General features: G+C 41.4%; 1 protein-coding gene across 10 annotated transcripts in view; it reads left to right on the top strand.

The window, feature by feature from the left end:
* The window catches only part of SORBS2 (sorbin and SH3 domain containing 2), a 370,850-nt gene that overhangs the window by 11,058 nt on the left and 334,005 nt on the right, over positions 1-25,787 (top strand). For 2 of the 10 annotated variants that reach the window (NM_001394266.1, NM_001394268.1), the window contains exon 1: positions 12,187-12,379. The exons of the other annotated variants lie outside the window; for them this stretch is intronic. The gene's annotated coding sequence lies outside the window, so the exon portion shown is untranslated. Of the gene's footprint in view, positions 1-12,186; positions 12,380-25,787 lie in introns of those variants that run through there. 10 annotated transcript variants of the gene reach the window in all.

Below are 25,787 nucleotides of genomic sequence, written 5' to 3'. Positions count from 1 at the left end.
CTTCATTTATTCAACATTATTCTCTCAGGAGAGAGCTGATGGGGTTCATAAACTTCTCAAAATGGTCAACTTGTCATTGCAATGGTTACTGTATCAACAAGTTGACAGAATCAAATAGGTGGACTAAACTTCCAAGCTATCACAATGCATTTAGCTTAGTAACTGCTGATGGTCTATATTCTACTTAATGTTCAGGGCCCATCTCCAAATCAACACCAACTTGAGTAAAACGTGGCGGGCATTGGCATATATGAGCACGTTGCATAGTGTGATTCATAAGCTCCAAAAGTTCCTAGAGCACTCATGATTTTATGTTTGGAGCACCCTTTAAAGGCTTGATATTAGTGTTCTTTTTCCTATAAATTGTTGGCTGCTGCATTGGAGAAATTCAGTGACAGAGTGGTTTTGTAACAGGGTTTGACCCCAAATATTTCGGCTGTTGGTAGCGATGCTAATCTTGCACTTACCTGTGCCATGGGATTGCAGAGAAAAGCTCATTGTTTTATGATTGTGGGACACACCGTAATATGGAGTGTCCTACAAATGACTTTCACAGAATCATATTTCTTTATACTTGTCTTCATTTTCCAGGATGTAAAGTCACTTGAGGCGCTTGTCTCATGAGTATCTGCAATGAAGCTTCATGGATATATGTATGTTCCTGAACTCTTTTAGTTATGCCAGCATTTTCCTGTTAAATATTTATAATGACTTAGTGCCACATTTCAGCTTCTCTGTAGTTTGAAAAGTGTCAATGCATCAAAAGGGCTGTGTGATTTCTGCACTATGCATTTCAGATCCAAATTTTAGATGTGTTGTGTCTTTATAGTCTCTAGATTGACTATATTGTGTAAATTCATATCTGGTCTCATTTGTTAGAACTGACATGTTACACAGTTCTGATCTCTGGAAATGAACTGACATTGAGACTCAATCTATGTAAGTATTTAAGTGATGTGGCTGACATCACATTGATGTCAATGAAAGTGTCAATTTGGAAACTAGGCCCAGGCTAGTGGCCACACAGTGGCTTTAAGTGGGTGCTTCTCATCTCTATTTGGGGCCCCGAAAGCATTTCTTGCCAGTCACTTACTTAGAATTTGCAGAAGATTTAAGAAAAAGTAGTTGGCTATATAAGCGTTTGGCTTTCCGTATGAGGGCTTTCCTGTGTGAAGCATATATGATCAGTTATATTACAGGAGATTTAATAAAATAGTTTCCTAATAAGGAGTGCAGAATGACAAATGTAAGTAGGACATAGCTTTGCTAAGTAACTTTCTGAAGCACTACCATTAGCTTCGTTTCAACATTTTTACCTTCAACATTTAAACAAACAGAATGATTGAAAGAATAGTACATCAAATACCCACTAGCTGGATTTAATTATTAACATGTTGCTGTACTGCTAGGTCCTCACGGGCATGTGTTTTGAAGAAGCATTTGAAAATAAATTGTAGGCATCATGACGTACTTCACTCCTAGAAACAGGAGACCCCAAGAGTAAGGGCATTGTATTACATGGCCTCAATTTTATAATACAACTAAGAAAATTAATAGTTTTCTAATATAACCTAACGTCCATTTCACTTTTAGTCTTTTTCAATTGTTCTTTTTAAATTATTTTATTCTTTTGTTCTTCAACCAGGTTATACTGGAGGCTCAGGAATTTCATCTCTATTAATCTAATATATTCCCCCTGCTATTTTTCCCTGTGACATTGACTTTGTGAAGAGAACAGGCCAATTGTCTTGTAAAACGTCCCACAGTGAGGATTTGTGTGATTGCTTTATTGTAATGATGTTCCCTTTGGTTCCTATTAACTAGAAATTACTTCTTACAGCTTGAGTAGGTACCATTTGTATGTTTTTGGCAAGAATATGTCGTAGATGATGTTTCTATGCCATCACATCTGGAGGCACACAATTTCATGACATCAGAATTCAGTGATGCTGCAGTTGATTTTTTGGTTAAGGTGGTGACTGCCAGATCTTTCCAAAAAGAAAAGTTTTCCCTTTTACAATCATTAGGTAATCTGAGGGGTGGTAATTTGTTACTATGTGGAATATCCTATTTGTCCATAACTACTAGGTTCGTAGGTTGAAATGGCCTTAAGCCACCCAAGGGATCTTTCCTGAATATCTCTTTTCTGAATGTGTTTGAACGTGATCTATGAGGAAATTATTTCTCCTAGAAGCACCATTAATCCAAATCTGTTTCATCAGGAAAAATGTCATAAGCCTTCTAAAAATTATTGTTGCATTAAACCACCTTCATTAAAGAAAATATAGATGATATCAAACAGATTATCTGTGGAATTTATTTTCTCATATCCTAATTATTAAATATACAACTGTCAGTTCATCATCTGGGTGTAAACCACATTTTTTTCAGTCACACTCTCAGAAACAAGTAGAACAAGTTGGAGAGAAAGCTGTCACTTGTTTTTCCAGTAATTCTATCAGATTATGAACCAGTCTGCAAAGTAATGGAAGATCTAATATAAGACATACATGATCTCTTTCCCTATCTACATTGTAAACTCCTTAAAGGCAAGAACCATAGTTCTGATTTTGGGGTGGAGATAAAATAAGGGGCAAAGGTGGAAATTGTTCTAATAAGAGCATGGAGACACATTGTACTGAGGGGCAAGAGTAAAGAAAATATGGGGCCATGCGCGGTGGCTCATGCCTATAATCCCAGCACTTTGGGAGGCCGAGGCGGGTGGATCACGAGGTCAGGAGTTCAAGACCAGCCTGACCAACATGGTGAAACCCCAGCTCTACTAAAAATACAAAAGTCAGCTGGGCATGGTGGTGGGCACCTGTAATCCCAGCTACTCAGGAGGCTGAGGCAGGAGAATCACTCGAACCCGGGAGGCAGAGGTTGCAGTGAGCCAAGATCACACCACTGCACTCCAGACTGAGTGACAAAGTGAGGTTCCAACTCAAAAAAAAAAAGAAAATATAAACCTAGGGAAATGTAGTCATCTAAATGAAGGTCCTGTTCGATTTGAGGACTGCAAAAAGTGCTTTCCTAAGTGGGCTATGGGGGGCCTGTTGCCCTAAGAGCTTCTACAAATTCTTTCTTCCCAGAAGCATTTCAGAGTTACATGAAAATTCCAAACAGAAGGAAGAAAAACTGGAATTTTCATCAGTATCTTGCTTAGTTTCTCCAAGTCTTAGTTTTTTGTTTTTTGTTTTAAATGGAATCTGGCTCTGTCACCCCAGCTGGAGTGCAGTGGCATGATCTTGGCTCACTGCAACCTCTGCCTCCTGGGTTCAAGTGATTCTCCTGCCTCAGACTCCCGAGTAGCTGGAATTACAGGCGTGCACAACCACACCTGGCAAATTTTTGTATTTTTAGTAGAGATGGGGTTTCACCACATTGGCCAGGCTGGTCTCGATCTCCTCACCTCAGACAAACTGCCCACCTTGGCCTCCCAAAGTACTGAGATTACAGGTGTGAGCCACCGTGCCCAGCCATCCAAGTCTTACTTTTCTTACATGTAAAATAAATAATTTGAAAGCTGTAATCTCTAACGTTCTTTCCACCAAAATGACTCTGTGGATCTATGGGTCTGAAATGTGTTATGCAAGATTGGAGGCGGGGCTGGAGAAATGGGTGCAATCATACTCGTGTTGAGTACAGGAGTGAGGAGGAAAAACTGGACCTGAGAGAGTGTGGGCTGAATCAGAGGGAAAGCAAGAAACTGGAATGTCTCCAGGATAGAAAGCAGGTCATTTCCCGGGAAGTCAGCTTTGTGTGAGATTATAAGAAGCAATGCTGGAAAGGTATGCAGAACTCTTCATTCGTTCAAGATTTTTGAGGGCCTCCTATATGTCTAGACAGAGAGGATCCAGAGATAAACAAGTATATTATTTCCATGTTCTCATGGAGATAGTATATTAGTGGGAAAAGACAGATAATATAGGAAAAAAATGTAACCTCATGGCCCTCTAATGCAATGGTTAAAGGTAAAGGCTTTAGAGCCAGACCATCTACATTCAAATTCTAGCTCTCCAACTTGATCTGGAGCAAGACAGTTAACCTTTTCCTGCCTTAATGTCCCATCTGTGTAATAATAGGACCCATTTTATATGGTTGGAACATGAGGATTAAAGAGGAAATAAATGTAAAAACTTTAGAATGGTGTCCGGCACGTGGTAAGTCTGAAATACATGTTAATTATTATTATGATGATGCAGATAAGTGCTGTGATAATAACGAAGTAGACGAATGGCATGGTTTTTCAACCTTAATCCTACTGACATTTGTGGGACCCTGATAATTCTTTTATGTGGGCAGCTGTCCAGTGCATTGTAGCATCCCTAGCCTCTACTCACTAGATGCCAGTAGCAACTCCCAGTAACGACCACCAAAAATGTCTCTATCCATTGCTAAATGCCCCTAGGGAGGCAAAAGTCTCTCCTGACTGAAAACCACTGGGTTAGAGAATAAAGGGTGCAATATTTTTAGATAGGGCAATATAGGACTCCTCAAAGAAAAACAGGAACAGACTCCTGAATGATGTTTTGCACACATTTTGCAGCGATGAGAAAACCTGGGGGAGACTGCTCTGTAGAGGCAACAGCAAAGATAAAAGTACCTAGGCTGGAACAAGTTGGTGTAGCCAGCTTGGGTGGAGAAGAGTAAGATTATGTCAAAGAAGTAGGTGGGGTCAGAGTCTGAAGGGCAGTGAAGACCCTGGCAATCAGTTTGGATTTTATTCTTTATATGCTGAGAAGCTATTAGAGGATATTAAGCCAGAGAATGACAAAGCAGGAAAGCTGGTGTGGAGCGGAATGCAAGTCCAGTGAGAGATGAGGGGGGCTTGGACAGGAGCAGTCAGAGGTCATGGCTGGGGAGGTGGTGAGCTGCAACAGGATTGCAATGTATGATGGTTGAAGAATATGTAGAATGGTTCTTCATGTATGGGGAATAAGGGTAAAAAGGGAAAAGCACATTTATGAGGAAGGAGTTTAATAAATCAGTAATTCTGTCTAGGCCGTGTGCCATTTGGGATCCTGCAAGTGGTAACTGGGCTGTTGACCATACTAGTTTGGAGATCAAGTGAAAGATTGGTCCTGGAGATATATGTTTGGGAGCTATCAGTGTTTAGACAGTACTTAAGCCATGGAACCTTCTGAGATCACCAAAGGAGAGAGGAGGGTGAGGTGGGAAGGCCATGGACCAGTTCTGAAGCATGCCTACATTCTCTGAAGAGACAGAGAAAACAGAAATGGCCACTGATGTAGGAGGTCAGCCCAGAGGCTGTGTGGCGTCTTAGAAGAAAAGCAAAGAAACGCTTCAAGAGGGTGCGGCTCATCTGGGTCAAATGCTACCAAGAGGTCAAGTAAGAAGAGAACTCTGGACAGACATCTGGATTTGACAAGGTGGAGAGTGTTGGTGACTATGATGAGAATGGTTTCACTGGGGGCATGGGGATGAAGGGCTTTCTGGAGTTGATTCTGGAGACAGTGGATGGGCGTTAAGAAAGTTGAGACAGGCCAGGCGTGGTAGCTCATGCCTGTAATCCCAGCACTTTGGGAGGCCGAGGCGGGCAGATCACGTGAGGTTGGGAGTTCGAGACCAGCCTGACCAACTTTAGGAGAAACCCTGTCTACTAAAAATACAAAATTAGCCAGGCGTGGTGGCACGTGCCTGTAATCCCAGCTACTAGGGAGGCTGAGGCAGGAGAATCGCTTGAACCTGGGAGGCAGAGGTTGCGGTGAGCCGAGGTCGCGCCATCGCACTCCAGCCTGGGCAACAAGAGTGCAACTCCATCTCAAAAAAAAAAGAAAGTTGAGACAGGAAGTGCAGATACCTCTTTGGAGAACTGTTCCTGGGAAGGAGAAGGGAGAAATAGAGCAGCAGTCAGAGAGGGACGTGGGCCAAAGAACACACTGTTTTTTGGTTAAGGTGGAAGTATTACAGCATATTTGAATGCTGATGGAACTATTCCAGTGAAGAGAAGGAAACTGATGATCCAGTGGGATATTAGGAACAATTGCACGGAAGAATTTGTTGAGGAATGGAAGAGGTAAAATACACTGTTGACAATGGGTCAGTTTGTCTGATGAGAGAAGGATGGACAGTTCAATAAAATGAGAGAGGAGAGAAATTTAGGTAAAATGGTGCATTCAGGGTGAAAAATAAAGTAATTTTTGTCAGAATACTTCTATTTTCTTAAAGTATATAGCAAGACCATCAACATATGGCCAGGGCGCAGAGGTTAAAGGGCTGAACAAAAGATAAAAAGGCACTGAGTATTCCTTTAGGAGAGAGAACAGGAGTATTTATCGGGAAATCTGTTAGAATCACCAGGCAGTTTTAAATACTGATTGAGCCGCGTAGTGATGTCTTTAAAAGTGAGACCCATCAGCACATTTGCATCCTTTTTCTTTGTTGCTTTCGTGCTTTGAAGCGGACATAATGTAGTTAGAGGGTTGAATGTAAACAGACTGGTGTATTGCCAGGCATGTGTACAGGGGGAGAATAGAGGAGCAGGGGATGAAGGCAGAATATGAAGGGACATTTGCACTGGTGGGTTCTGGCCTCCAGGCTGCTGGGGGGGAAAGCAGTTGTGGGGAGTGGTGCTGACAGGCGGGAAACTCATAGGGTTGGTGCACTGGGGTTCTCGGGGAGGTGGAACGTAACCAGAGTGTAGATACTAGGATAAGTTGCCTGGAATGATCAGAGATAATTATCAGAGTGGATGCTTTCCACTGGGATCTCAGAAATGGTCAAGTCTTGGGTGATGAATGGTGAGATTACAGAGAGCTTTGACACGCAGGATAAGAAGTTTGAGTTCTGATCTTCCTGAGCAAGTTGTTCAGTCTGGAGTTTGTGGACAAGTTTTAGAGCATGGAACTAGAATAAAAGGGTGTGTGTGTGTGTGTGTGTGTGTGTGTGTGTGTGTGTGTGTATGTGTCTACATTTTTCTGGGTGAGAGGATCCTAGGTTCCCCTAGATTATCAAAAGAATATCTGAACTACAAAATGTTAAGAATAATTTCTTGGTCAGGCGTGGTGGCTCACGCCTGTAATCTCAGCACTTTGGGAGGCCGAGGCGGGTGGATGACCTGAGGTCCGAAGTTCGAGACTAGCCTGGCCAACCTGGTGAAGCCTCATCGCTACAAAAAATACAAAAATTAGCTGGACATGGTGGCAGGTGCCTGTAATCCCAGCTACTCACAGGAGAATCACTTGAACCGGGAGGTGGGGGTTGCAGTGGGCCGAGATCATGCCACTGCACTCCAGCCTGGGTGACAGAGCAAGACCCCATCTCAAAAAAAAAAAAAAAAAAAGAATGATTTCTCTAAAACCTAGGAGGCAGGCAGCCACTGACAGTCTCTGAACAGCAGTAGTGGTGTGAGCTGCTATTTCCAAAGATGACACTGAGTTTGAAGGGGCAGAGAGGAGAAGATATTCCAACTCTGAAGAGATGTGTAATTCTCCACTTACATAGCACAGAAAGGAGTAGATGCTGGAGCCGACTCCACAGCACAGCACCTGTGGGGCTGGATGCCGGTCCCTGCTGAGGCAGCATCCCTCTTCACATCATTCTGTGTTCATTGCTTCCTCATTCCTCATTTCCCCCTCCCCTCCACTTCCAGCTAAAATAAAGTGGTTTTAATGAGGCATCACTTGGTGAGCTTTCGAATCAGGAGCCTGTAGGAGGACTGAACCAAGGATGTAGAGCCCTGCTAAATGCATCTTTCATCACTTTGGGGCAGGAGGACAGACCTAGAGGTACTTTTTGACGAAGGATTTAGTGCATTTGTTCCTGGGCTCAGGAAATATGGAGTTCTCCACTTCTGAAGTTAAGCACTTTAGTGCCCATCAACCTTAAGATTGAGGCATTATGGTGTCAATAAAGAGCAAAAATCTTGGATTCAGATACATGGCTAAGCAGCTACTTCATTTCACCCTAACAATAGCTCTGTTAAGAAAAATTGAACCTATCTCACTGTAAGAGTAAATAAACAGAAGTTTCAAGAAATTGCCTCACCCACGGTGAGACTGCTAGTACAATGCAGAACTTGATATACTTTTCAAAAGGTCACATGTATTTCTCAAAGCGTAGGAAACATGCTCCTCCAGTTCTCGTGAAGCACTCACTCACTCACTCACTCACTCACTCACTGGCAGAAGCACGAGATGAATGAGTTTTCCTTAAAATCGGGTTCAAGCACCAGGCTGACAGGAAACCATGTCATAATTAAAATCAGTCAATGTCATTGTTGAAATAGAATGACTTGTCATTCAAGAAGACAATTCTGAGTGGAATTTCAATTACATTTGGAATTAAAATAACTGTGCTATGTAATCTTTTAGAAGGTAGTCCTCTTACTGTCTAAGAAGCTGAATTTATTTTTTAAAACATTCTAATTAGGCATTCTTGAGGAATTTCCACCTTCAGTGAAACTGACAGCCCGTGCCATGCTGTGCCGTGCCGTGCATGCTGTGCTGTTGGTAGTGAGAGCAGAAGCTGAGTGTGGGAGGTGAAAGGAGACTCTTGCATAGTCTTAGAAGCAGACGGAAAGGGAAATCTTCTGTAAATTGCATTTCTAATCAACGTGATGACCATGTTTTCTAGCCCTAAAATTGGGACATGTGACTTGACAAAGAGACAGAATACTCAAAACTGGGAATGATCAGAAATATGGGATTTATGGTTATCACACTATTATCAATGGTGGCAAGGGTCAGCTTGAAGAATTCAGAATTAAAATTTAGATTAGATTTGAGGAAATTTACTTTAAAAATTAATTTCTGAATATGTCACACTTATGAACATTCAATTCTCTGTCTTGAAAGCTTCCCACCACCTCCTTCTCCTAAATATCCTGTTTGTGAGTTCCCATACGTACTTTATAACTTTGTGTAATTGATGGTTTCAGTACCCATTGCCTATGTGCAACTGCATTCAGCCTTTGTAGTTTTGGAACTGAGGATACTGCCCACTCTCAGTTGGCCATCAATAAATATTTGTTGCAGGGATGGAGGGTGGGTGAAACTGGAGCCAACCAGAGCCAGGATAAACCATGTGCCTTGGTGCTTTTCTTGTGAAGGCTTTATATTTACTTCTCTTCGCACAACTAAATATGGGACTAAGTTTGAATAGCACGTGTCTCCTCATTGAAAACTTACCGTTGGCCAGGTGCAATGGCTCACGCCTGTCATCTCAGTAGTTTGGGAGGCCGAGTCGGGCTAATCACTTGAGCTCAGGAGTTCAGGACCAGCCTGTCCAACATGCAACATGGTGAAACCTCATCTTTACAAAAAACACAAAACTTAGCCAGGCATGGTGGTGCACACCTGTAATCCCAACTACTCAGGAGGCTGAGGCAGGAGAATCACTTGAGCCTGGGAGAAAGAGGCTGCAGTGAGCCGAGATCATACCAATGCACTCCAGCCTGGGTGACAGTGAGACCATGTCACAAAGAAAAAGAAAACATACCTGTTCACTACTCTCCCACTTAATTTTCAAAGGCAGCCTGTGTCTCTTTTCCACATTCTCCCATGATGCTCTGTGTTACCAACTACGGCTCTGATTGATTATTGGTGTCTCTGTGGAGAGTAAATCATGTTTTCCACCCATATACATATCTCAAAAACAGCCCACCGTTCTAGGTTTTAACTGGACAGCTTCAAATTGGTGATAATTAGCCCTATCAATACCCTAGTTAAAGTTGGTATGTCTAAAGAACTAGTTCTTGGGTACTAACAATGGCTACTCATGGTAAAATGTTGGCCTTTTGGTGGAGTTTGTTCTAATGATCTAATGTCTTAATATTGCTATAGCACTTGGAATAGTGCTGGGACATAGTGAGAGACATTTTTGTGTTTGCCATTATCTTGCTTTATATCTCAACAAGCTTATGGGGGCAGAGAAAACTGATGCAAAAGTCAAGGAGTCTCTTAAACGTGTTATCTCCCATGGCTTAGTTTTGAGTTTCTTGTTACAGATAAGTGATATTTAAGCATAAAATAATAAATTTAAAATGTGGTATTGATAGCTGAGACTCAGCCCCTTTATGGTGGGACAGAAGCTTGTGGAAATAGTAGATACTTGGGATTGAACCCCTTGTGCCTTAAGGACCAGAAAAACTTCTCAGTTATTGAATTTGGATCGGGTTTTACTAACTGATACATTGCCTATTGGTTTGTGGGTACAAACTGTGTTTCTTTGGATTTTTCTTAAGAACTGGGGAAAGAGCTACATTAGCCTTGATTGTTGGCTGATTTTGATATCTGTAATGATTTGACTTGGAACAGAAAGGCAGAACATATTTCATACATAGAAGGTACTATCCAAAACACCTAAAGTGCAAATTATGGAGAAGCGACCTGACTCAGTAACAAACTATCCCGAAGAGCCATGATCAAGCATCTTCTCCTTGAGCAGTCTAGGGATGCACAGAGGGGGCCACAGAACAGTGTTTAGAAAGACAGACCCCGTCTTGAGTATCTGATTAGAGTTGAATGTCAGCAACTGCCTTGATTTCTCTCTCATTTTTTTTTTTTTTTTGAGATGGAGTCTCACTGTTGCCCAGGCTGGAGTCCAGTGGTGCAACCTCAGCTCACTGCAGCCTCCGCCTCCCGGGTTCAAGCGATTCTCTTGCCTCAACCTCCCACGTAGCTGGAATTACAGGGGCCCGCCACCATGTCTGGCTAATTTGTTGTTGTTGTTGTTGTTGTTTTTTGTATTTTTAGTAGAGCTGGGGTTTCCTCATGTTGGCCAGGCTGGTGTCGAACTCCTGACCTCAGGTGATCCACCTGTCTCGGCCTCCCAAAGTGCTGGGATTACAGGTGTGAGCCACCGTGATTGACCAAAATTTTTTTGTTCTTTAATATGTAAAATCTCATATTGCTTTGTGGAAGGGTGAGAGTTTTCTAAACAAAAGCAAATTGGATGCCTTTATTCTAGAAGGGTGTCTTCATTCTGTTTCACTGGTGAGTGCAAGCCTTTGCGTGGCAGGGACAGTGCCTTATTCATGTTTTATCCTGAAGGGCTTACAGAGGTCACGCCATGAAGAGCGGTTCTGAAAATCATCTGTGGAATGAATAAATGAATGAAAGCAGGAAAGGCTCTTGTCCTCTAGATTGTTATTCAAACAGTGTTCGAATTGCTATATTATCCAACAATGGCATGCGGGAAAAGACATGAGGGTTAAAAGAGAAATCAGTCAGCAAAAGTGCCAACCAGAGAGGGACTTTAAATGAAACCTACTGGGAAAAGTTGACGGATGTGTCTTCCCTAAAGATTTTATTTTTTCCTATGGGGAAAAATGCTTTGAAGGAAAGACTTTTGATTGAGAACAAAACCACAGTCTCTGGAAAGTGTGCAGCTTAGCAGGCCATCTATAGAGAGACTTTAAAGCCAGTTGGAGGTCAACTTATGTTCCTAAGCTCTGTAATCTTTTCAAGAAGGGTCTTCATATCAGGTGGCCTACTTTCACTGAAATGCCACTGATATTGGCTAAATTCTGTTTCCTTTCCAATTCATATTCTGAAGTCTTAACCTCCAGTACCTACGTATGTGACTTTTTTTGGGAAATGAGTGGCTGGTAAATTAACAGATTAGGTAAGATTAGGTCATTTTGGAGTGGGGTGGGCATTTGATCCAATATAAGTGGTGTCCTTGTTTATAAAAAGGGGAAGTTTGGACATGGACACACGCGCAAGGGGAATACCGTGCAAAGATGAAGGCAGAGATCCAGGTGATGCGTCTACAAGCCAAGGAAGCCAAAGACGGCCAGCAAGGGGAAAGGCAAGCAACAGACTCTCCCGCACAGCCTCAGAAGGAACCAGTCTGCTATAACCTTGATCTCAGGCTTCCAGCCTTCAGAACTGTGAGATAATGCATTTCTCACAGGATGCATTTCTCACAGGATGTTTAAGCCATCCTGTCTGTGGTACTTTGTTATCACAGCCCAAGCAGACGAATAGACCCACAGATGATTCAAACACTGTTGTACTTTAATGGTTACTGCAAAATACCACAGTTCACGATGATTCTACAGCGATACTCTAGAACTGCTGTAACGTTCGAGTAGACATGAGATCACTGGGTGGATTGTGTTTTTACCAACATATGAAACTGTAATTATCCATGAGCACCGTACTGCCTTTGGAGACACTGCTGGGACTGTGACTCAGACCTCCCTTGAGACAACTGGTCATTAGGAGTCACAGTGATGTGGAATCAACTTTGTCTTTCTGAAAAGCTGGAGATATTCATCATAGCCTGGACTGCCTGGGATCTACATGTTTTCTCCGTGTTGTAATGATGTGAAACACTTTATTAGCAGAGGAAGACATTTTTAGGAGAAGCATTTTGAATCAGAAGGCTTAAGAAGAATTCTGCTTTTCTCGTGAGTATCAAGTAGTTGATTATTGAGAACTGAAAACATTGTAGAAGGATAATTTACAAAATGACCCTTAAACATCTGCATTTATCATGGAAGATAAAAGTCTAGAGAAACTGTTTTTTAGCTGCTAGGAAAAGCTGTGTTTTCTTCAGAGGGTAAGTCATAGAGAAGGATCATGGTGTGGCCAGGGCAACCGAGCCCCAGGGGGGCTCATCCGCTTTAGGCCAGGCCCTGCCTACAGCAGTTTGCAGAGGCTGGTCTCAGATGCTTGCCAACAAATACAGCCCTGCAATGCAGTGACATTGCATTCCGGCAACTCTCTGTTCTCTTCATATTTTCTCATAAAATCTTGGCTCTGGCTAAAGAGAAAATGCCGTGCGGTAGGCTTAGCTCCTTAATGGTGAGGTGTTGATTTGGTATAGGTCTGTTTTCAGCCAACCCAGTACTTAATGTGTGGGGATTTTGTTGTTGTTAATGATAACAGTATTGTCTGGCCAAAAAATCATCCTTGCCATCCAGAAGTAAGACTATCATCGAATCACGCCACTTCTGCTTGCAGACAAGCAGCAGTGGACATGTCAAAACCGTGTGTGGTTATTAAAAGTTGACTTAACACCCTACTCTCTACCCTCCACTGTCCTTTGCAAGATTTCTTCAGTATATCAGGGGATCCATCCTTTTTTCCCTCCACTGCCCCCTTCGTAGCTGCCCCTCTGACAAATGCCTCCTAATCCCGCAAGCATTGCTGTTCAGCTGCTTCTGAGTCAGCTCATTTCCTCATGATCTTGGGGCCCCTTCCTCCAAGTGGTTTACCAAGGTGTGTGTTTATTATGTGTATATAATAAACACACACATATATAAATAAATATATAATAAACACACACACTAAATATATATCTGTATCTATATCTATATCTATCTATATATATATATATAGAGAGAGAGAGAGAGAGAGAGAGACAGGTTCTTCCCTTAAGATGTACTCTAGGGCAATCTCATATAAGAATTCTTTTCCACACACTTTTACTCACTTTCTCTTAACTCCTGTAAACTTAGAGGCTAGACCATTTACTTACATGTCCTTGTTATCTTTCTTCTCTTTCTGCATGTGTGCATGTGTGTGTGTCTGTCTGTCTCTGCCTCTCCTGTCTTTTTCTTTCTTTCTTTTCTTTATTTTTTGTATTGACAGTGACTCTCTCCCTAACCTCACTCTGGTCTGTCCTTGGCCCATTTAGTCTAATTTCAGCAAGAATCCTGCTGCGTCAGTTTAATGAAAGTCCCCTGCACTTGGGGTCTGATCCCCCTTGGTACCTGATCAAATGCCTCATCCCCTAGCCTTGGTATCTTATCACCCTGGCCTGCCTTCAACAAGATTATTTTTGAGTCAGCCTAGTAATAACCCCCGGCCTTGATGTTCCCACTTAGTAATTTTCCATCTGCTCACCCGCAGCCTGCTTCTTGGCCATCAGTCTCCGCTCGTCCTTGTAGTTGGAGTTGAGCTCAGTCACTCTTCCCAACTACAAACCTCCTTGTGGTGTCCCCCCTCATAAAATCTGTGTGTCCTTAACAAGTGTCATGAATATTTTTTTCTCTAGCAGTAAAAGAGTTATTATAATTAGACCATAAGCTTTTCCAAGGTAAAACTTTTCTCCTTGGCTCCTGAAATCATGAGTATATAGTAGTTGGTCAATAAACATTTGCTAGTAGATGGATTCTCCTCTTCCTTCTCATTTTCCCCCATACCCTCCTTATTGTCTTGCTTCCTTTTTCCTTCTCTGTTTAGCATAAAAATGATGAATCATAATGATAAATTATCTAATGTGATCATAATGTATGTAATTCTGTGTAGAATTGTTCATATACTTATAATTATACCATAAAAAGTGAAGATATCATCACTTTAAATATATTCATGTGTTTTCTTCATTTAATCAGCATTCTCTAACTTACTATTAATGAAATTATCCATTTCAATAGGGTAGGTATATCAATGCATTGAGTTTTTAGAGGCACATACATTTCACAGGGACTTAGTGTTTTATAAAAATATGTAGCATTGATGCATTAATTAAGGGAGAAGTAAAAATCCACAGAATTCGTATACAAGTCATTATTACTTTTTCCATCACAGAATTCTGCTTCTTTTTATTTTATAAGAAGAATATAGAAACTATGATTTTTCATTGCTTGGAAACAAGTGGATAGCATTGGAGGAGGGGACAGATCATATTTCATGAGTTACACCTTCAGAATAACATAAGATAGTGATAAGGAGAAATATCTTATCAAAACAGAGAGAGCTGAAAGGATTCAAAATCCCCCAGTTTAAAACTCTATCCAGGGCCGGGAGCAGTGGCTCACACCTGTAATCCCAGCACTTTGGGAGGCCGAGGCAGGCGGATCACGAGGTCAGGAGATCGAGACCATCCTGGCTAACACGGTGAAACCCTGTCTGTACTAAAAAATACAAAAAATTAGCCGGGCGTGGTGGTGGCGGTCGCCTGTAGTCCCAGCTACTCGGGAGGCTGAGGCAGGAGAATAGCGTGAACCCGGGTGGTGGAGCTTGCAGTGAGCCGAGATCGCACCACTGCACTCCAGCCTGGGAGACAGTGAGACTCCATCTCAAACAAAACAAAACAAAACAAAACAAAAAAACCTCTATCCTAGTGTTATAATAGAGATACAAGTTTTATTCACTAACATAAAGTAATAAAAACTGTAATTCTATGGGGTTTTCTTGTTATGTTTGGGGGATGAGGAGGTGACCATTTAAAATATCCCTGAAAACAAGTGCAGAATTATCAGTTTCATATGTTGTTAGCATCCTGTTCTGATTCTTGTAGAAAAGTAGTGACAAAGATAACACACATTTGTTCTGCCCTCGTGTGTGCCATGCATGGTAAGTGCTTTCTGTACATTGCCTCATTGACTCCTCACAACCACATCGTGCAGTCATTTCTTTTCTTATCTCCATTTTATCCATGGCTGAGCTGAGGCTTGAGAGTGAAATAAACTGCCCAAGTTCATCCCCGTCAATAGCAGAATATGAGATTCAACCCATAGTGTCACACACGCCCAAAATCAGGCTTTTAAAAATCTCTTTGCGGCCAGGCACAGTGGCTCATGCCTGTAATCCCAGCACTTTGAGGGGCCAAGGCAGGTGGATCACGAGGTCAAGAGATCGAGACCATCCTGGCCAACATGGTGAAACCCCAACTCTACTAAAAATACAAAAATCAGCTGGGCGTGGTGGTGCATGCCTGTAGTCCCAGCTATTCGGGAGGCTGAGGCAGGAGAATCTCTTGAACCCGGGAGGCGGAGGTTCCAGTGAGTCAGTGAGTCGAGATTGCACCACTGCACTCCAGTCTAGCAACAGAGTGAGACTCTGTCTCAAAAAAAAAAAAAAAACCCAACAAAAAACAACAAATAAAACCTCTTTGCTATCATAATGAAAACAATTGACCTTTGATGGATCATACAAATGAGATATTTGCTTGTACTCTGCTTTAAACTCAATTATAAAAGACTTTGGAAAGAAGAGCTATGATGATTTACAGATTGAATCTTTCTACATCATGTGAGGTTGATTTCTTGAAGTTTCTCAGAACTGGATTGACACCCTCTGAGTGTTAACTGGTTGGAATGAATCCAAATTCCTTCAGCGCTTGTGGAAGCCTGGGTCACCTGTCTCAGAGATGTTTATCCCAGACTTGCAGACCCAGAAATCTTGTGAGGTGCTGCCCAGGAACCCACAGTGGTAACAAGCTCGTCATAGGATTCTTGTGTAAACTAAAGTTTTAAAACCACTGTTATAAGGGTGATTTCTCTTTCTATAGGTGGAAAAAGATTACATCCAAATGTTTAGTTTAAAGGAATATCACTATAATTGTGATAAACCAGGAGTTGCAAACTCGTGGCCTGAATGACAGTAGTTTTTCCTTTGGCCAGCACAGTTTGTTACCATAAGAGTTTGGATGTGTTTATGTAAGGCATACGCCCTCTATTTCAACACAGTGCCCATGACTTCCTAGCATCTTAGACTTTGAAGATACCTGCATGATCCCTGAAGAAAGCTGGAAAGAAGAACCTTCTTGGCCAGGCGCGGTGGCTCACGCCTGGAATCCCAGCACTTTAGGAGGCCGAGGTGGGCGGATCACGAGGTCAGGAGATCAAGACCATCCTGGCTAACACGGTGAAACCCCGTCTCTACTAAAAATACAAAATAATTAGCCAGGCGTGGTGGCAGGCGCCTGTAGTCCCAGCTACTCGGGAGGATGAGGCAGGAGAATGGCATGAACCCAGGAGGCAGAGCTTGCAGTGAGCCAAGATCGCGCCACTGCACTCCAGCCTGGGCAACAGAGCAAAACTCCGTCTCAAAAAAAAGAAGAAGAAGCTTCTTATACATGAAATCCATGAGATACTGGGGCCCCACGTGCCTGACTCTCCCGCAGTGCTCAAGACCTGTCTATAAAGTAGTTTTTCTCTTTGTTCAGGGAGTTAGACAAAGAAGAAATATGTTTTCTTTTTTTCTTTTTGAGATGGGGTCTTGCTCTGCCACTCAGGCTGGAGTGCAACAACAGGGTCATAGCTCACTGCAGCCTCAGACTCCTGGGCTCAAGTGATCCTCCCGCCTCAGCCTCCCAATGAGCTGGGACCACAGGCACATACCACCACTCCCAAATAATTTTTATTTTTTATAGAGACAGGATCTCTCTATGTTGCCCAGGCTGGTATTGAACTCCTTGGCTCAAGGAATCCTTCCACTTTGGTCCCCCAAAGTGATGAAATTACAGGTGTGAGCCACTGCCCCCAGCCAGAAATATTTTTTTTTCTATGCTTCTTCTTGCCCTCTATAAGTGACTTAAATATTCTCATGGGTCATTTGAGACCTCAGTCCTTTTTGATAAAGCAGAAGGGAAAAAATGGACAGGAGGCCTTCAGTGAAAACAAACCAGCAATATGAGTATTTTTCAGAAATTAAGAAAATAAAACAATTTATGTTAAATCAACAAGGTGACATATCAAATAAAACAAATCAGAAGTCCGTGTTGGTGATGAAAATGATAGGACTTGTGTATCCCTTGAGTGTTCACCATATAACAACAGTACCTATAAGGGCTTTGAAAAGAAAAACTGTCAAAATTAATCAAGATTCATTTTTGGGAAAAGATGACATATTTGACAAATTAAACCACTTAAGGAAAGAATAGTAGAAATGACATATAAACTTAACTTTATTTCATCAATATAGGTAATTGAAGTAATTGGGCTTTTATTTTGTAACTAAATATATGTAGTTTTCAAATTAAGATGTAATGGAATTTTGACTAATACTTAATTAGGAGCCTTTGGTTAAGAACTGAGTGCTCTCTCAGCAAACTAACACAGGAACAGAAAACCAAATACCACATGTCCTCACTCATAACTGGGAGTTGAACAATGAGCATACATGGACACGGGGAGTGGAATATCACACAGGGGCCTGTCAGGGGGTGGGGGGCAAGGGGAGGGAGAGCATTAGGACAAATACCTAATGCATGTGGGGCTTAAAACCTAGGTGACAGATTGATAGGTGCAGCAAACCGCCATGGCATGTGTATACTTATGTACCAAACCTACATGTTCTGCACATGTATCCCAGAACTTAAAGTAAAATAAAAAATAAAAAAAAGGACTGAGTGCTCAAAATTTTTTTATAAGTTAGGAAAACCAAACAAAAATTATATATACACATATATAATATGTATAATATTATATATAATATGTATACCTTATGTATGTAAATGTATTGTTGTATGTAAGAATATATTTTATATACATATAATATTCACATATATATGACAATGTGTAATATATATTATATAATATGTGGTATCATATTTCATATATATCACATATAAAATTGACTTGATTTTATAATAGCATGGCAGTTCAATAAGAAGGAGGAAAGTAAAGAACCGTAAAATCCTCTTTGTTCAACTTTTCCTTGGCTTGTGGCTTATATAGAGCTATCCTAGGTTTCTTCTGCTGGTTAAGGATTGCTTATTTGTGATTAGGATTAGTTGATAGAATTAATGTCAGGGTCAGCAATGGATGAGTCTGTAAGGGGAGCCCGTGTGCTCTAAAGTGATGATGAAAGTCACTTTCTTAGAAATAAAGATCCTTGTGCCACATCAAAAAGCTTTTAAATATGTCAATTAACCTCGCATGTTTCCTAAGTAAACAGAGATATGGGCAAAGGTAAATCTATAAGGATGTTTATCAGAACAATATTTAAATTATACTAATATAAAATATAAACAAACTGTGCTCCAGAAGTAGTATACTTGTGTTTTAAAAATTGGCTTTTATAATAGAATTCTACATTGCCATTAAAAAAAAAACAAAACCACAACTTGAACATTTCAAATCAACACGTCCAAAACGAAACGCTTTCCAACTAGATGTCCTCCCATCATTTATATATGAGTGTTTCCATCACCTCCGAGATGATCATGCCAGATACCAAAAATTGTCCAATTCCCCTATCTCCTTTTTTGTCTCCCTAATACAGCCCCATAGTCTGTAGGCGACAAGGCACCGCCTCCAGGACTCAGCCTAAACTCATCCACTTTCCTCTACCCGTGCCGCCACCACGCTAGTTCGAGAGACCATGCCTTCTTGCCTGGAAACTATGCTGTAGCCTCTTACCACGGCCCTCTTGGCATTGCAGCCAGGGCAGTCATTTTCAAAATGCAAATTAGACCACGCCCACTCCTGTGCTTAAAAGCCATCAGGTCCTCCATTTGTTTCACGTGAGATCCCAAGCCTGGCACATAGCGCGGTTATAGCGCAGTCCTTGCTCTCCAGCTCTGTTTCAGCTTACTCTCCACCTCGCTGTCTGCACTCCAGGAAGGGTAGTGTGGCTCCTCCGAGTCTGTGTGTGCTGTTCCCTGTGTCTGGAATCCTTCGCTCCCACACAGCGCTCCTCCCTTCCATCAAAGAAATTGCCTTCTTATCTTTGACCTCTCAGCTTAAGTCCTGTCTTGCCAGAGGAGACTTCTATGCTCTGTGATATGGATTGAGTCCCTAGTTAGTTCTTTCTTATAGCGCCCTGTCACCCTGCACCCGGACTCTATATTGCATATATGTTTTGTAATTAAAATTTCATTTGGGCCTAATACCTGCTTGACCCATGGGATCGTAACTCTGAGAGGAGGTAATCTTGTGTGCTTTCTTCTCCAGCCACCTCCCCCATGCCTACCGATACAGTGCAGATGCTGACAGTTGTCACTCAGCGAAATGTGTAGAGTGAGTAAATAATGTCTGACATTTAACAGTCATCATCATATATTTCCAAAATGTATCTTTTTAAATAGACATGAACAAATATACGCGTCTCATACATATTTTGAATATGCGACTATGACACTAAGAATGCAAGCAAAAGTTATAATGGTTCTCTCTGGGGGGAGATGCGTTTTAAAAATATATTTCTGTGTTTTTCAGTTATCCATTGAGTACTTTCATCCTTAAAATTAGAAAAAAAATGTGCTATTTTGTAAAATGTGTCCCTTTCTTGCACTAATTATAATTCTGACCACCCACCACATCCTATTCTGCCTCTAGGGCTAGGACTCTAAGACAATGCGTTTATCAATTTTAAACCCAGCTGTACATGTACATATTTAAGGACCAGTGGCATTAGAGGATATATTCTCAAAAAGAAGAATGACTGTTTTAGGGAAAAAGTCCAAAGTGGCCTCAGCAAATCACACAGTTTATCAGAATATTAAGTAATAATATAACAATGAGAATGTCATAGATGCAAACAAAACCATTGTCTTATATCATGGCAAGCTGTTTTTGTGTTTTTGGTCTCAACATTCATATAAACTCAATCAGTGGCAACTTTTTGGCTTGAATATGGCCATTGTTTTAATGCTGCGTGTATTCACTGAAAAGCCTTGTCAGAGTGATTTTTGGGGTGGGAACAAGTTGATACGACTCGGATGACTGGAGGAACACCAGGGTTCTTGGTCTCACGCCGATAGGATTAATGACACGGACACACATGGAGTGGTTTCATGGAGCGAAAAGTTTAATAGGCAAGAAAGAAGGAAGGAAGAAGAAAACAGCTCCCCAGTATAGAGACGGAGGGAGTGGGGATTGGAACAAAGAGAAAACTCGCTGTGCGGCAGCAAAGTGGCTGCTTATATGAGGAGTCTGGAGGAGGCGGTGTCTGATTTGCATAGGGCACAGGGGATTGGTTTGACCAGGCATGTCATTCACATAGCCCGTGAAATAACTGGCCCTCCCACCCTAGTCTTTTAATATGCAAATGCAGGGCGCCATGATGTTCTACACACGTGGGGTTATGTGGGGCAGCCATGTTGCCAGGCACTTGTGGGCACCAGGAAAAGACAGCGGGTATTGCCTTGTTTGGGTGGACCCAGTTTCTAATGGCGTACATTTGCATATCAAAGCTTGCCGGTGGGGGCTTTTCTGCTAGGCAAGAAATGTTTCTTGAGCTACTTTAAAAGAAACAAAAACTTGGCAAGGACCCTTTTTCGTATCTGCCTAAAATAATTTCTTATTAACTCCTATAACGAAGTGAGGTTTCTGGCCCCACGGTGAACTTTTGCTTCCCCAAACTTCTAAGGCAGGCTCCCTCCTTGTGCTCTAATGGACACCACCCACTCACTCCCTGGCAGTGTGGACTACTCGTCTTTTCTTGTAAATTGTGTCTCTTGAGGCTGACTGCAAGCTCCCTGAAGGCAGGAGAGCATCTTCTGTACCTCTGTATATCTATCCTCACACTCACAGACCACTCAACCTGTTCATGTACTCATTTCACTCATTCATTCATGTCACAAATATTGACTGTGACCTCCTGGGTTCCTGGCTCTGCTGTACCACCTGGAGATAAAGAGCAAAACAGATGAGACAGATATCTGCTTTCATGCTGCTTCCATTCTAGTGGAGTAATACACATCGCAAAGGAATGGTCATTTATTGATTGAGCGTCTTTTAACAATTCTTGTCTTGAAAATTAACTGATTTTAGTATTCAGGAAAGTATCCAAGGAAATAAGAGACATATTTTTCTTCTTTAGTTCTTTTAAATAAATTTCAGAATTTTTTTTTAAATGTAAGAAGTTAATGTTAGAACCCTGATACTGTATCTAAGGAAGGAGGTCGTGTAGAAGTGTTTCTCTCCTTTTGTGTCTTTTTCATTTACAAATGTAGGGGGTAGAGCTTACACTTCCAGAGTAATCATCACGTGCAAACGAATGCTCATTGCCAATCAGATTGCAAGTGGAGTTTCACAAATTTGGTATACAAAGGTCTATAGAAAAATTGGCCAGGCACGGTGGTTCACAAATCCCAGAGCTTTGGGAGGCAGAGGCAGGAAGATTGCTTGAGGCCAGGAGCTGGAGACCAGCCTGGGCAACATACCAAAGTCCTGTCTCTACAAAAAAAAAAAATTAAAAAAAAGAAACTTAGCCAAGCATGGTGGCATGTCTGCAGTCCCAGCTGCTCAGGAGGCTGAGGCAGGAGGATCACTTGAGCCCAGGAGCAGTGAGTAATGATGGCACCACTGCACTCCAGCCTGGGTGACAAAGCAAGACCCCATCTCTAAAATAATTCTTTTTAAGTATTATATGACTGATCCCAAAGAATAAGTTACTCAGGAAAGGAGGCAGGGCGTACTTTTCCAGCATAAGCAGCATAGATCCAAGGTTGACCACAACAGAGACAAGGAAGACTATAGAAGAAGATGGGACAAGACACTCACCTTTGTGGAGTGTCTGCTCATTATCTGCTGGACTCTGTGTGGGGCTCCCCCCATACAGATTATCCCCTTTAATGCTCTTAACCTCACTGACACTTAGCCAGTATTCTTCCCATTCTACAGAGGAGAGAACTGAAGCTCAGAGAGATTAAATAGCTTTCCCAAAGGCCTCTTAGAAAGCTTCGTTCAGGGTTTGTATCTAACTTGACAGTCCTAACTACTTGAGTTAGGAGTCAAACGATATGAATTTTCAGTTTCAGTTCCCTCAGTTTACTAGCAAGGAAACTAAACTGGGTTACTATATTTCCTAGGTCTTCCTCTCCTCCCCTAGAAATGAGAATAATAATATCTGCCATATGAGCATGTCAATTTTTAAAGGAAAAGCTAAATGAAACCATTCTGTAATCCATAAAGCACTCTGCGAACTATAACAATTGCTGAATGTTAAGAAATACAGAAAGTCTACAAAAGATTTTCTAAGAAAATGGAAAGGAAATGATAATCGCTGTAATTTCATGAAGGAGAAATTGGGCCAATAGCTGTCATTAATTACAAATGATAAAACAAGAAGGAAAGCAGAATGTCATATCACTCTCAATAAAAAACATAGGTTATGCAAACCTGATGCGTTCCAGAAGAAATGAGAAAAGTTCCTGAAATAGGATTCATTTCTGAGGCTCAATTCCATGATTCGTTCCTATGAATGTGAGTTATAAGAGCTGGAAGGAACCTTCCATGAAGGATCAGGGATGGGGAGGGTTCAGAGACTTGCTCAGTGCCAAAGCCAGAGCCAAGACCCAGGGCTGCTCTGCCCAGTGTGTTCTCCCTTAGTGCACTAGAAATCATTCTGAGTGATGCACTCCAATGAGGGGCTGGGACAGAGAGAGGAAGGGGAGAGGACCACTGTTATCAACAACCTTCCAGAAGTTAATCAAATTTATGTCCTAGAATTATTTTTTACAGTAGAAGATAACCACATAGTTATGCTAACCACGACTGTTAAAGCTAAAAGAATTCTCCTGAAAGCCAGTGCTTCACCATACACAGCTACCATGTGCCTGATTAGAGCTGTGGCAAGTGTAAATAAATCAGGGGCTCACCAATGAAAGGACTATGTTGATAACCAAATCCATTCATCAGATGAAGAATGCTTTCCATGAAATGAACAACTCCTGTTTTCCCAATGTGAGCCAGTGTTTTAACAATTGTGTGGCTTACGTGATTGGCAGTGTTCCTGTAACAGGCAGCTCCAATAGCAGGGCAGTCTGAATAAAGGAATCTCTGGAGGTGAAGGTGCTGAAGAGTGTTGATACTGGAAATGTTGGGGAATGCAAGACTACTCCTTTTGAAGAAGACTGGAAGGATCGCTTTGAAATCCCGGAAGGCTTGCAGACATCCTGCAGAAAAGAACTGGCTAAAAATAGCAAACCAGCGTTGTGGTCGGCTGATAGGGCTGTATAGTGGAAAAGTAAATATCCATTGCTTTGTGAACTGAGGATCTCTATAACCTGTATCTTCTCAGAAATATACTTTCTACTTCGTCCTTCTTTGTTTTTTCAGAGACAGGGTCTTGTTGTATCAGCCAGGCTAGTCTTGAACTCCTGATCAATTAAAATACTTTCCATTTCTTTTTTTTTCTCTTCCTCTCTCTCCATATTTTGTTGTGTGACATATTCCTCCAGGATAATAGGGAAAAATTTAATAAAATATTTTTCTAACGCCACCATTGCAAAGCATCTGGGTTGTTCATCTTCACCTCCATAAACAACTCATTATCGGGAGATGGTTAACTTGAGCAACTCCGTAACAGATTCGGTTTTGAAGTCACGTTATAAAAAACAGCCTACAGTGATTGTCACGTACTTACAGATATGCTTAGCTAATCCTTACGGTATTGATGTTATCCCCAATTTAGAAATGGCTGAGTGGAGAGAGATTAAAGCTGCCAAGGAAAAGATTAAAGCGTAGCTGTCTAACGTCTACGAGAATGGGAACCATGGAAAATTGAAACCTACACATAATGCAAACGACTTAAGCCATGAGCTATCTGATTTGCCCCTTTCTGCTCTTTAATCATGAAGGGGAAGCCAGCCTCGTAATTGACAAGGAAAGTATCAGCATTCCCCGCCCAGCCCTCTGCCTCTCAGGTGCTGAGGGGCTCCCATCGAAGGAGGAAGCCTCACAACTTCCTTTCCTATTCGCTACTCAAACCCTCATGATGGGACATCTTATTGAATGGATCACTGAAAAGCATTTTGATGACCCATCTTTATGACATCATATTCTGTGAATTTGTACAGATGACTTTTGTTACCATTTACTTATCACTGAAAGAGAGAATTGTAGTATTCTGTCTCACTTTTTCTTTCACTTTTCCTTTGTATCAGCAAAATTAATTTTATTAAATCTCAATATTTAATGTATTCAGTCTACGAAAATCCTAGCTTCTTGAAGGAAACTAGTGAAAATTCGCAGATACACTATTTTCTGGTAAACTTTTTTAGAGTTGCCAAATTTTTTTAAAAGTAAAAACATGCAAGATTTAAATTACATTGAGTTAGGACTGTTGGATGGCTGGAATCTCTGAGGCATACAAGCTCTATTCTGCTCCACTTTTTCCACTTTCAGTCACTGAAGCACTTTTAGGAAGGATGGAATGGAGGTACTTTGTATGGCGATGCAAGATGAAGCAGGATCTGTTACAAATTCCCTGGCTGGAAAAGTACACTTCTTTCAGCACTATTGTACCTTGACGGTCTCCAGTTACAGCCAGAGGAGATGTGTAATATATGACTGGACTTGCCGCAAATGCAAGTACACAAACCTTGGGACAGAGACACCTTGTGCTACGGTAAATTGATCTGCTGCTGGCGTCCACTGAGTCATCCGGCACACAAAATAGGAGCTCACATCAGAGATGGTGGGAACTGGTTGGAGTTCTGATTTTTATCTGGCCATTCAAGATCTGTAGAAAGAGTGAATTTTAAAGTCCTCTCCTGATGATTATGCTACTTTTATATTTAAAACCATTTGACATAGAATCAAATTTGTGTACCACTATTTTGAAACTCATTTTCCAATGTTTCCTCTTAGAATAATTTTTTTGTCAAATGAGAATAACATATAGCTTGCATTTTTCTTAAATGGAAATATTAAGATTATTCATATTATTGAGGAAGATTAATAAGAAAGATGGCATACTAACAACTAATTGTTTTGTATGATAGTTCAGAACAGCGGTAGATTTTGCAAAGCCAATATCTTATGTCATCTGCCATGTATTATTGAGCATCAAATATATGCCACTTCAGGCTGGGTGTCCCAGAGATGCATGGCATGAAAAGATGACAGCAGGACAATAAGATATGAGCGAAGTAAAAAGGAAAGAGAAGATAAGAGATTACTGATAAACGGTGAAGCAAACCATTGTATCAGCTATTTCTGGTGATGTCAATTTGGTGACATATCCTGGTGAAGTGGGTTAATTGCATGTGTGTGTCAAGTTGCTTCTTTTCTGATGCGGGTTTGACTTTTCTCATTTTGACTGCTTTTCCAGAGGTGAAATTAGAGTAAAGAAAGAAAGAAAGAAAAACCTCTACAGTCAAAAACTGGTCTAGGCAGTTTATATCACCTCACT

This window comes from Homo sapiens, chromosome 4, assembly GCF_000001405.40.
Source record: "Homo sapiens chromosome 4, GRCh38.p14 Primary Assembly".
Taxonomy (NCBI): domain Eukaryota; kingdom Metazoa; phylum Chordata; class Mammalia; order Primates; family Hominidae; genus Homo; species Homo sapiens.
The sequence above is the reverse complement of the archived record's forward strand: the minus strand, read 5'-3'. Positions and strand labels throughout refer to the sequence as shown.